The sequence below is a fragment of the Homo sapiens genome, chromosome 5 (assembly GCF_000001405.40).
Source record: "Homo sapiens chromosome 5, GRCh38.p14 Primary Assembly".
NCBI classification, from domain to species: Eukaryota; Metazoa; Chordata; class Mammalia; order Primates; family Hominidae; genus Homo; species Homo sapiens.
In genome coordinates this window covers 117079549-117096932 of record NC_000005.10, presented here as the reverse complement: position 1 = coordinate 117096932, position 17384 = coordinate 117079549, and the positions used below count along the sequence as shown (strand labels likewise).

At 39.5% G+C, this 17384-nt stretch overlaps 1 annotated feature.

The window, feature by feature from the left end:
* Positions 465–1395: an enhancer, noted in NCBI's record as "NANOG hESC enhancer chr5:116431234-116432164 (GRCh37/hg19 assembly coordinates)". NCBI's record gives its function as "activates a minimal SCP1, AML or CMV promoter by ChIP-STARR-seq in primed H9 embryonic stem cells {active_cell/tissue: H9 hESC(primed)}" and the evidence as "EXISTENCE:reporter gene assay evidence [ECO:0000049][PMID:30033119]".

Here is a 17384-nt window from a genome sequence, read left to right as displayed (position 1 = left end):
TGCTGCCTTCTTGTTCCTTTTTTTCACCAGCTTGAGAAATTTTTTTTTTTCACTGAAGGGGCAGCTTTTCTAGGAGCCATCTCTAGATGAAGGTCTCAGTCAAGCTTTCTGCTTCCCCCAGATTCAAGACCACATCTGCTGTCCCTCTAAGGGTGACAAATCTCTTGAAGTCTCTGAAGAATGAGAAATTTTGTCTGTGGAGTGCAGCTTCAGTTCGTGCCTGAGAGTTTCATTCTGCCCTTTCTGATGTCCTGCCTTATGGATTTCAGACTTGCCAGCGCCTGTAACTACATAAGCAGTATCAGCAGTTCCTTCTTATATGCATATATATGCACGTGCGTGCGTGTGTGTGTGTGTGTGTGTGTGTGTGTGTGTGTGTCCTATTGGCTGTTTCTCAGGTTGATCCCTGACTAATATATGTGACATTTTGTACCGGATTTTATATATGCACAAGTAAACTATCTGCAAATATTGACACTTGTGTTTGCTTACTTCATTATTCAAAATAGGCTGAAAGAGATTTTGAGATCCAAAAGAATCTTAAAGAAGTAGTCCCTTAAAATAAATATCTTTATGTACAAGAAATCCACTATATGCTTTCTGGGAATACGGGCAATCAGCATGAATAGCACTCAGGGACTGGGCTGCAAGAGGACAGGGCTCTATCCCCTCAATTACTGCTGTATTTCCTGCTGTGTCTCAGCTCCCTGGGAAATACTCCTTCTAAGAACTAAAGCGGCACAGTCTCTCAATTACACACAACCTTCTCTTCACTCTTTTCAGCCCCGATTTAGGGAGGAAAGAGGGAACCATTATAAAAATACAAAGAGGACTGAAAACATGTAACAAGGGCCAGGAGTATAAAGCATAAGAGGAGATTGTGACTAAATCTTTATGGCCTAGAAAAAAAAGGAGACTCAGCAGGGAACATAATTACAGTCCATAAATGTCTTCAGGTAACCAGATACATGACACAAGGGACTTGCTTACTGTGAGAGAAAATGCTAAGACAAGACAAAATTGCATAGAGTTTTGGAATGAACTGTTTCAACAACAACAACAAAAAGGTTTTTGAACGTGTGAAATTAGAGAATGTGAGACACATGCTATGTGAGGCACTCACAGAAATGGTGAGACGAGCCGTCAGCTGATTTGGCATATAACAAGCCTCGTCTAAGGAATTCAAACACATTTTGATTGAAGTTACACAATATTACAACAAAACATGCAATGAAAACAAAATAAAAAGCGAAGATCTAGAAAGGACTTCATTTTCAACCATTTACTTAAAATAGATTGTAAGTTTTCACATGTAATGTGGGAAAGGCTGGTTTATAAATTAGCAGTTTTTCTACCCCCAAGAGCTTGTGTCATTCCCAGCAGGGTCCTGCCAGCAAAGCAATAGCAACAGCAGCATCACCCAGAAGCTGATTAGAAATGAGATATCTCAGGCCCCACCGCAAACCTAGTCATTAGAATCTGCATTTTAACAAGATCCCCCGATGATATACATGCAGATCAAGGTTTTGAAAAGCACTAGAAGAAAACAGTAATGCCTTTTATATGCCTTTGTGACCCTGAAACAACTTAAAGATTTAAGGCCATACAGGGAACTGAAACAACTCAACAGCATACAAACCAATAATCTAATTAAAGAAGGGACAAAAGATCTGAACAGACATTTCTCAAAAGAAGACATACGAATGGCCAACAGGTATATGAAAAAAATGCTCAACATCACTAATCATCACGGAAGTGCAAATCAAAACCACAATCAGATATCATCTCACACCAGTTAGAATGGATATTATCAAAAAGACAAACAAGGATGTGAAGAAAGGGGAACGCTTATACACAGTTGGTGGGAATGTAAATTAGTACAATCATTATGGAAAACAATGTGGAGGTCCCTCCAAAGATTAAAAATAGAACTACCATGTGATCCAGCAATCCCACTGCAGGGTAGATAACCAAAAGAAAAAAAATCAGTGTATCAAACAGATATCTGCACTCCCACGTTTATTGGGAGTGCAATAGCCCAGATAGGAAATCAACCTCAGTGTCCATCAACGGATGGATGGACCAAGAAAACGTGGCATATACACACAATGGAGTATTATTCAGCCATAAAAAGGATAAAATCCTGTTATTTGCAGCAACACAGGTGGAACTGGAGAACATTAGGTTAAGTAAAATAAGCCAGGCACAGAAAGTCAAATAACACGTTCTGAAACGGCTGGCGGTAGCTGCACTGAAGAAGTGGAAGTGGCCATGGCGCAGGCGACGCTGCAGCCCAGATGGTACTTCAGCCACTGCTGCTGGGTCCCGATCGTGCCACACTCGGGCCTGCTGGTGAGGCCCCAGCCAGGTTTGTCAGGCAGGCAGGGGAGCCTTTCCTGCAGGCCTGAGGTGAAGCAACGCCCTTAAAGCAAGCTGACTCTTACGGGGAAACTGAGGCTGGGGACAGCGTTGTCCCAAGGTCACTCCACCAAGAGAGAGCCTCAGCATTGAGGGCATGAACCCCAGATGAGGCCTGGTCAGGAAGTGGGGACTGGTCCAGGTAGTGCAGCAGGGTCAAGGCTGGATGATCCCAAATCCGCTGCCTTCCTGGCGCGTGAGCGGCAGAGACCCCAGATCCACCCATGAGTCCAGTGAGCTTGGTGTGGGGATGGAGAAACTGAGGCCCAGAGAGCCAAGTGACTTGCCTGGGGGCACACTGCAGGGAAGGAGCTGGGCCTCAGAGCTTGCCCCAAAGCGAAGTGGGGCCCTGGAGGAGACTGGGTATGGGGGAATCTGAAAATAATGCCAGGGGCTGTTTGCTGAGCACGTGGTTGGAGCTGCGGAACCCTGGCCTCTGCCTTTGGAGGCAGGTCCAGGTGTTACTTCCTTTTTATGGATGGGCAAGCTGAGGAAAGCTTTCCATAAAGCTTTCCATAAAGCTGGAAAGCTCCAGACACTGTTCTGGGGTCCGACAGTGCCTGGGGGCAGGTGTCTGTCACCAGAGCCTGTCTTCTTCCCGCGGGGGAGCCCCAGCCTGGGACCCAGGCGAGTGGGCCCTTCTTCCCGCATAGTGGCAGGGAGAGTCTAGGAAGGAAGCCGCTGATGAGGGTTGGCCGGGTAGACCCCCTCCCTCATCTAGGTGTTTACCGCCAGCACCAACACCCCTCCCCCATACCGGCCTCCAGACGACCCTATGCCTGGGAATTCTGGGCATTGCTCCCCGCTCATTTAGGTCTGTTAGGGGGTGCGTGCTTGTTGCTTAGGGAAGGTGGCCCCATCAGGAGGTTTCTCAGACAGCAGGTCTCGAATGGCTCAGCGAACTGCATCTTTCATCAGTGCTCCCTTTCCCCAGGCTGACATCGGGAAAAAAAGAAAAAGAAAAAAATATATCACATATTCTTACTGATAGAGAGGAGTTTAAAGAAAGTTGGTCTCATGGAGGTAGAGAGAATGGTGGTTTCAGTGTCTGGGAAAGGTGGGAAGAGGGCAGGTGAAGAGAATCTGGTTCATGGGTATGAAAATAACAGTTCGATTGAAGAAATAACTTCTAGTTTTCCATAGCACAGTAGGGCGACTATAGTTAACAATAACTTATTGTACATTTTTAAATAGCTAGAAGAGAAGATTTGGAATGTTCTCAACCCAAAGAAATGATCAAGGTTTGAGGTGATGGATATCCTAATAACCTGTTGATTTTTTTCCCTTTGTATGTATGTATCAGAATATCACATATACCCTGGAAATTTCTATAATCATAATGCATCGATTTTTTAAAAAAAGGAAATTTCTTTAGTGGAGAACCTTATCATCTAATTACTTCTTTGTCAAAATGATATATTGACTTATTAATTATGAAATGGCCCCAATCAATGATGATATTAATATCAATGTTTGTTACTATAATTTAAATATCATTATTCTGTGTAGTATCAGTAAAGTCTGTCATTGGTTGAATTTGTGTTTTATATTGATATTGTTCTGATTTTTAATTTTAAAAATTTTTAAATTAATTTATTAAAATCTTAAATTAGTTTAAAAATTTTATACTCTGCCAGTGGACACATATAGTAACAGTTGTAAAAAGAGTAATCTGGCTAGGAGAAATGCTACCCTTTAAATTGGAGTATGGGCCGGGCGCGGTGGCTCACGCCTGTAATCCCAGCACTTTGGGAGGCCGAGGCGGGTGGATCATGAGGTCAGGAGATCGAGACCATCCTGGCTCACAAGGTGAAACCCCGTCTCTACTAAAAATACAAAAAATTAGCCGGGCGCGGTGGCGGGCGCCTGTAGTCCCAGCTACTCGGGAGGCTGAGGCAGGAGAATGGCGTGAACCCGGGAAGCGGAGCTTGCAGTGAGCCGAGATTGCGCCACTGCAGTCCGCAGTCCGGCCTGGGCGACAGAGCGAGACTCCGTCTCAAAAAAAAAAAAAAAAAAAATTGGAGTATGTCACCGAATGGTTTGCCTTTGCATGGCCTAATGAAAGTTAGCAAAAGAGAACTTGGCCACATGTGTGGCCCTGTGGGAAGAGGTAGGATGATTTTATGAAAAGCCCCCTGGGCTGAGAGCCACAACTCCTAAATCATTAGTTATCAGTCATGTATACTTGTTTGATCAGTTCATTTTGTGAGCCTCGGTTTACTTATTGTAATAGAGAAATAATATTTACCCTTCAGAATGAGAAGCTAATGATATGATGCACATGGAAGGGTTTTGTGAATTATTAAAGCCATGAAAGGATAGGGAGTTCCTTGGCATCTCAGTAGAAGACTAGCAATATATGATCACCTGTAATCCGTTAAACTCTGATTCTGGCAGTCGTTGGCTTTATTGCAGAACACTTTTGTCCCTAATTTCTTAGAGATTAAAAAGACTTCTTGGCTAGGTGTGGTGGCTCACGCCTGTAATCCCAGCACTTTGGGAGGCAGAGGCGGGTGGATCACGAAGTCAAGAGATCAGGACCATCCTGGCCAACATGATGAAACCCTGTCTCTACTAAAAATACAAAAATTAGCCTGGCATGGTGGCATACCACCTGTAGTCCTAGCTACTCAGAAGGCTGAGGCAAGAAAATCGGTTGAACCCGGGAGTCAGAGTTTGCAGTGAGCCAAGATCGCGCGCCACTGCATTCCAGCCTGGCAACAGAGCAAGACTCCGTCTCAAAAAAAAAAAAAAAAGACTTCTTATTAAATTCTATTTTAGGAATCTAACGAAACTTTAGCTCTTAAGAAGCCTGGTTCCTTGCCAGAAGTTTAAGGCAGGAAGAGTAGGATGTGAAGATTTGGCACCAGTGGCTGGCTTTCCCTTTGCCAAAAGAAAGAGGACCCTCTGCCCTTCAGATAGTTGTTGAGGTCCAGGTGCTTGTTTCTATCAAGCACATGTTCCCAGAAGACGGAGAACTAGGGCCACTAATGTTATAAATATATCTGAATTCTTAAACCAAGGTTGAAACCTAGCATTTCATACATATCTTATTTGTGCCACAACAGCATCTTAAAATATTATTACCAACATTTAATAACTGAGATTCATGTAAAAAGCTAATTTTTCATGTCCTGAAAAATCGAAAGATCTGGCAACCTTAAATCCAGCTGCAAATGGACAATACTCCACTATAACCAAACATGGATATCCAGGCCCCCGAGTACCATAATACCCATTCTCAGGCACCATTCCTTTATTTGCCTAATAGCCATTTGACTTAACAAGCTCTGACCCCTCTTTTAAAGGACTTCTCAGATTGCCTTAAGTTGATCCTCAGTGATGGTGAAGTATCTGTAGCAAGGTCAAGTTGTCCACCTCTAAGGCTGGCCCAGTCTGCCTGCCTGGCTCATTGAAATTCATGTGCTCCAGGACTTGATGTCAAGAGACCAAGCCCCTCAGCATCAAAGAACGGCTGCTCAAGTATGAAGGGCCCCTTAGCTATGCTTGGACCTTAATTCAACTCACAAGGACTAATGTAAGATTCTTCTATTGCCTGAATATATGTGGATGGCCTCAGGAATATTTACTAATATTTACTAAAAATATTCCTCTTTCTTTCATGTTTTTTTCCTTTTTCTGAAGCCTTTCTTTGTCCAGGCCAACTAATAGTTCTCTGATGCTGCTCCTTCCCCCTGGCTCAGAACTAAAGTCATAAAGAATGAAACTGGAAGAAGGTATATCTGAGGAAACGGAGGTGACTCAGCCAAGAAAATGGGGCCGCTGGAGAAGTGCTGCCCTGCTACAGAAAGTGGTATTCCCATAGCATCATATCTCTGATAGGACACTTGCAATCGTATTCATTGATATTACCTTTTAGCGGCCATCTTTAGAACTAGCATCAAATTCAAAATGACTTCTGATTTGATTATTCATATACTTTGATTTCTTCTCCTCTACCCCATAAAATAAAAGATCAGATAGCCATCTTTTAGTTGGCAAACAACAATTTTTATGATAAAAATAAAATTGACCACAAAGAGAGAATAGACAAGTATGAAGTTAACCACACAGATCCAGTGAAAAAGTTACCTGAAATGGGGTATTCACACACTTTCCCCAAAATTTAATAAATGCCGTTGGAGTCAAGATGTGTGGGGATTTATTCTTGATTTAATTAATTAAAGTCTATAAGCGGTTATCAGAGTTGACAATAACAACTCAGATTTGTTCCAGTTGCTAAAGTGCTGATAGGAGCACATGGCTTTATTTGACTCTTTGGGCCCAGACAGAAGGGCTTATGGGAAAGAATTCTGGGTTAGCCACTGGTTCTGTGGATATGTGCCAGAGTTGATGGAATGTGACGGGGGAAGTATGATCTGTGCCAACTACTATAACATTGATTGTCTTATTACTGTTAGCAAGAATCTAAATAAATAGACTTTATATGCTCTTAATGAAAGGAAAATTATCTATAGCCTGCAGTGTTCCAAGTGTGCCCCAGTCCACACACTTTTATTGTGCCAAGCTCTGAACTAGGTACTAAACCCTATTTTCTAAGACATGGCAATATACTTAGAGAAGGCAGGGAAATTCAGTATTCTCTTGGGCCTATAGCCCTTCCCACTATCATCTTTAATCCATGAAATCAGTAATTGTTGTACCCCCAAAATATGCACAGTGTCTGAGACATGGCAAATTCTTGATAAATATATGTTGCTTGAATGAATGGATGGATTAGTATGAAACTACATGTTAATAAAATACTGATGAGGGTGATTTTTACATATTAGTAAATGCTGAAACTCAAAGTGATCAATGATGTAATTGGCAGGCCCTCAAGTCTCACACTGAGTGGCCTGGACCACACTCCCCGACTCAGGACCTATGTAAAATCATCCATTCTCTTTCCTTTTATTCATTCACTTAGCTTGTCAGTCATCCTCATCCCCTGATGATCTTTGGAATTCAAAGAAGGAAAATTACATTCTGTTCTTAAAAAGATGGGTCCGTAGAGTAGAATAACCATGAGTTTAATATTCAAAATTTCTGAAAATCTATAACAGGCAATATTAATTAGGTTATTTTTCAGTGAAATATGCCAGAAGTTTCCTTCATGCTGTTTTTAATTTCATATTCACCTAGGTGCAGTATTAAAGAGAAAATCTCAAAAATGAATTTTGATATATGTAAATAGGTCACTCTTCACCTGATCTGCTCTCCTCCTTCCAAGAAAGGCATCCTACCTTCTTCCTGCACTGGTATCTGGGAGATGGCCAAACTCTGAATAGACAGTTGCACAGGATCATTTCCCAAATGCAGTTTTGTGCAGAAACAAAATCCCGGTGAAACCATTCAGGTGAGAAGCACAGTGGCACACAGGCATGAGGATCCTCACTCTGGCCATCAGAGCCAAGCTCCTGCCCAGATGAATGAATCCACCCCCTCCCAAATGACTGCCCTAATGTTTAAAATAAAGCCCAGTGCACCACGGAGATTCAGGACATTTGTGTTGCTGAGGCTACATGGTTAACCTCAACTCCTTCAATGCCTTTTTCCAACATATTTTTAAAATTTGTGCTGTTTAAAATATAGTTTTCTCCTCATTATATTTTCTTCTTAATCCTTTATACTAAATTCACAAAATACATTTAACTTATGTATAACATTTACGCAGAAATAGGCTTTTTGCCTCTTCCTCAAAGTAAATATCTGTTAATTACTCTGGTGCTGGAGTTACAAAAACTTAGATTGTATGAGGATTGTACCAGTTTAATAAAACAGGATAGAAAAACAGCCAACATGGTGGCACCATTACACTGATTGTTTTCTGTAGATATACAGAATACATGAATAATAATGTTTCTTTTCATAACTCTTGCTGACTTGAAGGCATGATCGAATAGTATATTTCTGATTAACCCAGGGCCCAGTCCACATAGGCACATGTGCAGAGTTCTGATAAGGTGAAGAAAGATGTGTTTCCATGTCAACAATTTAAAGGTTGTAACTATTTTGAGTTGTTAATATAAACTTTGATATTAGCTCATTGACTTTGATGGTTTGCAAAGAATAAATTCTAACACAATTACAATGACTGCTGAAATGTATTAAATCTCTAGAGAAGCTGGAAAAATGTGTACGCATGACAGGTTTGTCAATCATCTCTTGCTCTGATTAGGTGACATTAGCAAGTGATTTTTGTTAACTAGAAAAAGTGACAGTATAGTATTTTATAATGGCCCCTGACTAAAACATTGTATCAATTTTTATTGGTTCCTCCTATGTCTCTATGTAGCGATGAAGAAAAGGCCCAGTGGCTATATCTTGAGGCATCATATTATCTGATAGGCTTATTAGTACTCAGAAAATTTCAATATTATTATCATAACTACAGGCAGTAATATCCTTAGCAATAATTGAGAGCCATGATGATTCCAGTCCCTGGGTGTTACACCAATCAGCTCTTCTATTTTCTTTCTCTGGGACTCTCTTGTTCAGAGACAAAATGACAATTATTTCATGTCAGGGCTCTTGTAATCTCACTAGAAAGAACCAAAAACCAAAAAAAAATTTGTCAATTATCATCACAAACCCACTGTCATTCTCAGGGATTTATACAGCTTAAGGCATGGTAGGTGGAAAGAAAGGCTAAAAGAGAAGAGATCCAGGATCCAGGGCAAGACTAAAAGCAGAGGAAGAGTTGAGTCAGTCAGGGTTTATCTGGGTAGGGAATTGTGGGACAGGTAGTGTGAGGGAAGGCACAAACAATGCTGGAAAAATTTAACTTCTAGACTTTTAAAATCCTAATTAGTTCCAACATTCTAATTTCAGTCTTTCCAAAAATATAGAGGAATTGAGAACAATGATTAATTACACTGATTAATGTCTGATATTGACAAGGGATGTCCATAAAAATGAGTCTCTTTGATCTCTCACTGGGTGGCCCCAGGTGCTGCCCGCTGGAACTCTTGCCTCTGTACAGAGGCTGCACTCCCCATGGCCGCTACCAGCCAATGAATAAGCTAGGCAGGGAGACTCAGGTAGGCCTGTTCCAGGAGTATATGGACTCTTCTGATGAGCAACCTTGGCTCTAGTACCCAAGACAGCCTTGACAGACTTTCTTACTGCATAGTGGTCTAAGACACTTCCACCTAACCTCTCCTTCTTCCCTCTCTCCTTCATCTGAGGTCAGACCTATATTTTGGTTGGATGGCTCCCCAGCCTCTCCCAGAAACCTTTTCCCTTAAAAAGTTTCTCACACATTTAATTCCATCTTGGTATCTACATTTTTGAGAACCCAGATTCATTTCTCCTTCAGGAATATTTGTACTCCAAGTGAAGATTTTAGGAAAAGGAATTTATATTTATTGAGCAACTACTATGTGCCAGGTACTTTACAAGTATTATCTAATTTAATTCACACATTAACTCTCTTAGATAGTATCATCCTACATTTAGTAGTTGAAGAAATGACACTCAAAGAGTTTAGAAATTAAATTGAAGCGTATGAAATTGCTATTTTTGTAAGTCAAAAAAGATCAAAATGTTGGGAGTTTTATGTGGTTTGATCTATATAATTTGCCAAGGTCACACAAATACTAAGTGAACAAACTAAAACTTGAACCATTTCCATCTGCTTTCAAAACACATGTTCTTTTCACTCTACTGCAATGTTTCAGAGTACACTTGGTGAAGAGAGAATATATGCATAAATCTCACCAGTGAGTTTATTCAATGTCATGTTTGACAAAATATATATTAAAAGTACCTCAGAACATCAAATATGCTAGGGACAGAATAATAATTTTCAAGAACATTCTAATTCTCAGTCTTTCCTCAATAAGCCTGATAATGAGCATTTTAGAACAACATGAATAATGTATACATGCATATATGCATAAAAGAAGCCTTGGAAGCCACTGGTGGTAGTATGTGGGTAATTTCCGTTATTGTTTTTGTTCTTCTATATTTTATGTTTCCCACAATGAGTGTGTATAACTTGTATAATAAAAAAGTTATTAAAATAAAACATAAAGCTGTATTGCTAGTGAATCGTTCTCCAAACACATCTATGATCCCAGTGCCGTTAGTCATACCCTCTAGGCAGCAAATAGATTAGACAATAGAGAAGAAAAAATATCCCTGGCAAGTTCTTCCTGCTCTGTCTCCAACTCATTCTAGTCATGGGCCTTCCTAGCTGCACCCTGTGTTTGTTTTGAAGACCTTGTCCTCTGCCTGGCAGCGACAGGGTGTTTCAGTGAGAATAGGTCAGGAGGATGCCTGCTACCCAGTCATGTTAAGCTCTGAAGGGTTTCAAACAGCTCCCTTGGGAGCACAGAAAACATAAGCTTAGAAAAATTATTATGGGTTCTTATATGAACTCCTAACTTTGCACTGCAACTAATCGAATTGATTTATTACCCATAGACAAATTTAAAAGAAAAAATTCAAGCTTCACTAACAGCTGTTTATTAACATGAGGTTAAAAAACAGACATTTCTGTGATGGCATCTAAGCAATAGAGGCACACAGGGTAAATATTGGCCAAAGTAATTGTGATGGTTAATACTGAGTGTGAACTTGATATTGATATTGATCCTGGGTGTGTCTGTGAGGGTGTTGCCAAAGGAGATTAACATTTGAGTCAGTGGGCTGGGGAAGGCAGACCCACCCTTAATTGGGTGGGCACCATCTAATCAGCTGTCAGTGAATATAAAGCAGGCAGAAAAACATGAAGGGGAGAGACGGGCCTAGCCTCCCAGCCTACATCGTTCTCCCGTGTTGCATGCTCCCTGCCCTCAAACATCGGACTCCAAGTTCTTCAGTTTTGGGACTCAGACTGGCTCCTTGCTCTTCCACTTGCAGATGGCCTATTGTGGGACCTTGTGATCGTGTAAGCTAATACTTAATAAACCCATATATATCTTAGTTACTATGGAAAATGGTAATGATAGGTAGAAGTAGCAAAATATCTGCTAGTTTCAGTGATACCTTCTACCATGCTAATGGCAAACAATTTGTCATCCGATTACTCTCATTATTGCTTGAGGAAAGCATTCCATTTCTCGAGACCAAGTTGGGCCGATCCCTTAAGGCCAGGAGCTTGAGACCAGCTTGGTCAATGGAGTAAGACCCCATCTCTGAAAAAAAAATTATATATATATATATATAGTATGTGTGTGTGTCTGTATGTATATATATTACATTCTTGTTTTTTAATATTTGATGGCTTTCAAAAATCATTAATCAAATAGTGTGTTCCCTATTTTCTATCCTAATACAGCATCAAGTATGGCTCTATTTTGAGTAATTTATAAACATTATTTCATGTAGTACTCCTAACAACCCTATAAAGTATGAACTATTCCCGTCTCATTTTCCAGATAGAGAAACTGAGTCATAGAAAAGTTATATGATATCCTCAGACTCACAAAGCTCGTAACTGTTATTATCAGGATTTAGCCCCAAACTATATGACTCCAGAGCCCATTAATATGTGTGCTTAGTAATCAACGCTGTACCCAAAGTTTCCTTTGGCTCTGCCTTGCTTCTCATTCTCTCTAGGGTAAATATACAAACAGATGGCAATAACAACCATGCTAAAGAATGCAAACAGATACCATAATATTTGTGAAAATTTCCCCTAAACTTTGGTTTCTATAGAAGAAAAAAACATGAGTTTTGATTATTAGCCTAATTATTCAGGAGATGCCTGTGCAATTTATGGTTTATCCAGATGCTATGCATTACGCTTAATTTCTTTCTGGAAATGTTTATCTCTTCTTACAGTACTTATCTCTAAAATTGTGCTTAAAAGTAAGATGTGGCTCACATAGACCAATGGCTTTTTTTTTTTTTTAATCTGAGCACAAAGAAGAAATAAACAGCAACCCATTGTAGAGACACATCATTGAAAGCAAAGTGTAGAACCTAGTTTGATATTATTAAGATAGAGCTAACTGCTCTAACAAGTAAACTTTGGCTTAGCACAAAAGAAATACATGTCTTGTTCAGAAAGAATCAATTATCAGAAAAAAGAGGGTAGGATAGAAAAGAGTAAAAGGCTTGCTTCACACAATTGTCTAGGGACCCAAAAATAAGCTTGGCCATCCTCAACATTGGGCTTTCAAAGCTATCCATGATAATGACATCCAGTTAACAGATGATGGAAGGAATACAGACACATCTGCTTCTTAACCTCTTTGTCTGTCAGTTGTCTGACATCATTTCCACTAGCATTCCACTGGTGAGACCAGGCTGACTGGCTCCACCTTGCTAAGAGAGAGGGGAAATGTCTCTTGCTGTGCAGTCACTCTGGGAGTCACTCCATGGTGAGACAAAGCAGCAGGTATCTGTGATTTACAACCAGCCTCCTCTACCACACCACATAACCAAATCTCTATGCTTGCACTGGTCTTTATTTCTTCCTCTGTAATTTGTGGATATTGAACCAAATGATCTCTATAGTCTCCCTTAGGTCATGAAAGTCTTATGACTCCCAAGTTTTCAGGTATATATAATATATACTGTCTAACATAAAGTATAATTTTGGTGTTTCAGGATTTAACTTCAATTTCTCTGCATTTTTAAGAATTAAATGTGGACTATTTCATACTCTCTATTCTTTGGATCTCTAATATCTCTTTATTGTCACTAAAATCGACTGATTGAGTAATGATTGTACATGACATTCAATTGCTGGGTAAGAGTACTATACTGAGGGCATTACCATGTAGAGGGCTCTATCCTAAGAGCAGTATGTCCATTGATTGCGTGTCACACTGTAATTTTAAGAAAAGTGAGTGGATGCTAGTTGAAACATCAATAACAATATTCAGTATCACTATAATAGCTAAGACATATCTGGTGCTTTATAGTTAACATGTTTAATCTTCATAATAATCTAGTGAGGGAACTGTTCCAGGCTGCATTTACAGGTGATGAAAAGGAGGCTATGGGAGGAAAAGTAGCTTTAGCCAGTGAGGATCAGACTGGCTCAAAAACCCAGGACTCCTGCCTCTAAATGTCATTTTCCAGTAAACCAAGGTGTCTCACATTGCACAGGACCACCAGGTTTCATAAGCTCCTTTTCCATTTTATCTCCTCTGACCCAATGAGCCTTTCCCTGATGCCTGTTTGCTGCATGCTTTGCAGCTGCCTCCTCAATATATGGTTAATTTTCCATCATTTTCTGTGAGCAGATGTTCCTGAGGAGCACAGCCACTTTCCAATCCCTGGCACTATCTCCTGCAGATGACTGGATTAAACACAGTAGCCGCTGGCCATCCTTTTGATCTGAAAAGAAAAGACTTTCCCACTGGGATATTCCTCATGATGATGTAATTAGTTTCCTGGACATACCTAACAAATTTATTTTTAATCACAAGGGATGAGGGGAGAGAAGGAAGAACCATTCATCTTGGATTGTGTGCAACTGCTGCAGTTAATATGCACCATTTCCATCCCCCTTGTGCAATGTATTCTTCAGCTATTGTTCAAAGATTTAGGGGCAATAGGCTACTCTTCAAAAGCAGTGGGGGAACTTCACTTTCATAAAGGGGTCTCAGGCACTATTAAATTGCTTTTTCAAACCTGGCAAAGACATTAGAGCTGGAAATCCTTTCAGCTCCAAACTGTCCCCAGCATTAAGAACAGGTGAAGCTCTTAATAACGTTTTGGAGATTGTGTTTGATTGAAAAACACAACATGGAACATTCTGTACAAACAAATTCAGCTGTTCAAAATTTCCAATCCTGTGGGTATCACAGTAGTATCATATTTTTGCCCAGGATCATGTCTTGAGGTATTATTAGGGATACTGTTTCCTAAATTTGTGCGTCACACATGAATAAAATTTAACTAACATAATTCATACTTTTAATAATGAATCACAGGTATAATCTGAGGCCTACCATTTACTACGAATGCAAAGGCTAGATAATTCTTAGGGCAGACAAAGAATGAACATCAGGGATAATTATGATATTATGTTCTGTGTATTGCCAGAAAGAAGAGAAACTGGAAGTGGAAGGGGGAGAAAGTTCTTAAAGACAGCCTGTCCATGAACCAGTCAACCATTCATTTGAGACCCCAAAAGCACATACCACCATCTCCTTTCAAAGGCATGCTTAAAACAAACATTTCATAAGCATAGAAGCAAAAAAAAAAAAAAAAAACAAACCAAAAAAACTATAGGTCATTTTTTTCATGAACGAAAGCAATGAGAGAATATGGCCTGTAGCCAATTTCCACATTTCTTTGAATGTAACATCTAACCTACTATCAGAAATAAGAACACATGGGGTACGAAGGTCAGTTCAAGAGAGGTGAAGAAGTTGGAGAAAAGTTTAAAAGAAATCAACCAAGGAAGAAATATTTGAAGTTATTTTAAATTGCTATTTCAGTAAGTAATAGCCACAGTCTGGATTTTGTTCTTGAAACTTTGAATTGGTCTTCTTGTTGAGTTAATTTTTTTTTAAAAAGGAACAGATAGTATAATCAGTTACATGGATGGCTGAGCACCTGTGTGACAATAGGATCAGAAATAGGATCAGAAAAAAAAAAAATTCATAAAACTAAATTCTAAATTTTGCAGACTACATATTCCTCCCCCATCCTAGAAACCCACTAACTGACAAGCAGGAATTAATTTACATGTCTGATTTTCTCCTCCTAAATGACCACCATGAGTTCTGAGACATGCAATAACATGACTGCTACTGCCTTAAAAAAAGTATATAAGCACATACAGCTTTTCTTGTTACATTTTTAGAGTCTCAAAATAGGCATTCTTAGATTCCTTATTTTATAATGGAGCTATACATGAAATTAAACAGATAACATACATAAAATCACACAGTGGTTTGTCTGAAACATAGTAGAAGCTCAATACATATTGGCTTTCTCACATTTTTCTCTCTTTGTCATTATGTGCATTCATATGCACCCCTAAGTAGCCCAGGACAATTATCGGGCTAATATGGCAAGATACCAATAAAAATCAAAACTGGAAGTGCTCCCCAAGGCAATGCTAAAGATGTTGGGGCACTGGCCACATTGGCTGATGGTCCCCAACTTGTCTTTCCCCTCCCTGCTACTACTTTTTCACCGTATCTCTAGAAATCCCTCACATTGTATGTTTTTTTGGCCCTCTAAGAATCTGTCATCCCTCAATGGGATATTTTCTGTATCACAGTATTTACGATGCCTATTTTTAGCATGGTTTAATAATTACTTATAAATGAAAAATATTAGGGTGATAGACAATATATTAACTCTATTAACAAAAATTGTCTATGTGTTAGGAGGCCCTAGGAATCCATTGTCTGATCAGAAGACATCATTTTCCTGCCAGTCAGGTGACTTAAACAGGACTCTGGGGACTTTGATGAGAAGACCATTGTATTAGAACTCCAGGGCTGGGATTTGGAGGTCAGTGTGCTTGCATTCTGCTTAAATCATAATCTTGCTTCCAAAATAACAAGTTTAGCCCCTGAAATATCACTACCATGATTGCCCAGTCAATTTTCTTCCTGACATTCAAAGAATAAATTGAATGAAAATGCGTGAGACCATTGCTACAGAGTTTTTGCTGGAAAACATATATTTTCTGTTTGAATTGTCATAAAATTGTCTAAAAACATTGGCATGTGTCCAACTTTGTGAATGTATTTGGATTAAAGAAAGGAGGAAATGATAACAAAGGAATGGAAGTAAATTAAAATTGAGTTAACGTGTACTTTTTCAGACATTTCTCTGGATGGCATTTGCAATTAAATGCAGACTTTTTCCTCTTCCTCAGGAATGGGTAATTTAAAAATAAATTATCCGTGCAAATATGCAAGGCTATACCTATGAAAAATAAAATAAGTTATCAAGCAGTATCTGAATAATTTGATCCGGATAAAGCTCCAACAACCTCCTACTTCCTTTCAAAATTAGAGTGGGGGTCTGAAATATGTGGCTGTATCCTGGAGTTCTCTACATTACACACAGACCTTAGCAGAACCCTCGATGTGAAGTTAATGAACGAGTTATGAAGGCTATCAAAACACTAGAGTCTGAAGGAAATATTCAGTCAATCACAAAAGCATTTCAGCTCTATATAGACAAGCAGAGGTATCCTTTTTAAATAGCAATTATTTTAACACAAAGGTAAGCCCTGCCTTATCTTGTCACTGTCTACGTTTGTGTGAGATGGCTTTTGTATGAAAATGGAGAACACTCAAAGTCCCCTGAGCCTTTGATGACTTAGAAGAAATTCCTAGTATCTCCACCTCAAATTCTACAATGCATTTCTCTGCAGTAAATTATCTCTACAATGAATTCCTTGTTAAATAAATCCCATTTGAACTGATGCCTGGTAGCTGAGATGTAGAGTAACAGTCTAACATTCATTATAGGAGATAAATATAGTTTTCCTTCTAAATACCATGCATTGGAGCCTGCTGTGACCAGGTACCTGTGACTTGCCACTGTGGAGAAGAGAGAAATTCAGATCTTAAAGAAAAATGAAATAAAAATAGAAAAGTATTCTCCACAGCTTATATATCTTTGGCATGATTGTAGTGGACAGATGAGTGGTAGAAGCAGAAGCTAACATCCCAGACCCTGCTAAAGACACACAGAGGACAATTGGGATCCAACTGTTCTTGTGTGCTACCTAGATTGCCTCAGGAGTTATTTCTACCTTCATAAACAGTTTCATTATATTCAGCTTCCACTCTTAATTAAATGCAAAATAGCCAAAAAGTACATGAGAACTATCACCTTTTTAGTTATGCCTGTCATAACACAACTGATTAAAAACAAATCCTGCACTGACCTAGTTTAGAATTTCCTTACTCATCACCTGACCTAGCTGTGAAATACCCTCTAAGCTTCTAGTTTTTCTCTTTAATTCATTCTTAGACCACTACTAAAGAATCTTACCCAGCTTATACCACTGTGGCTTATTACTTGGG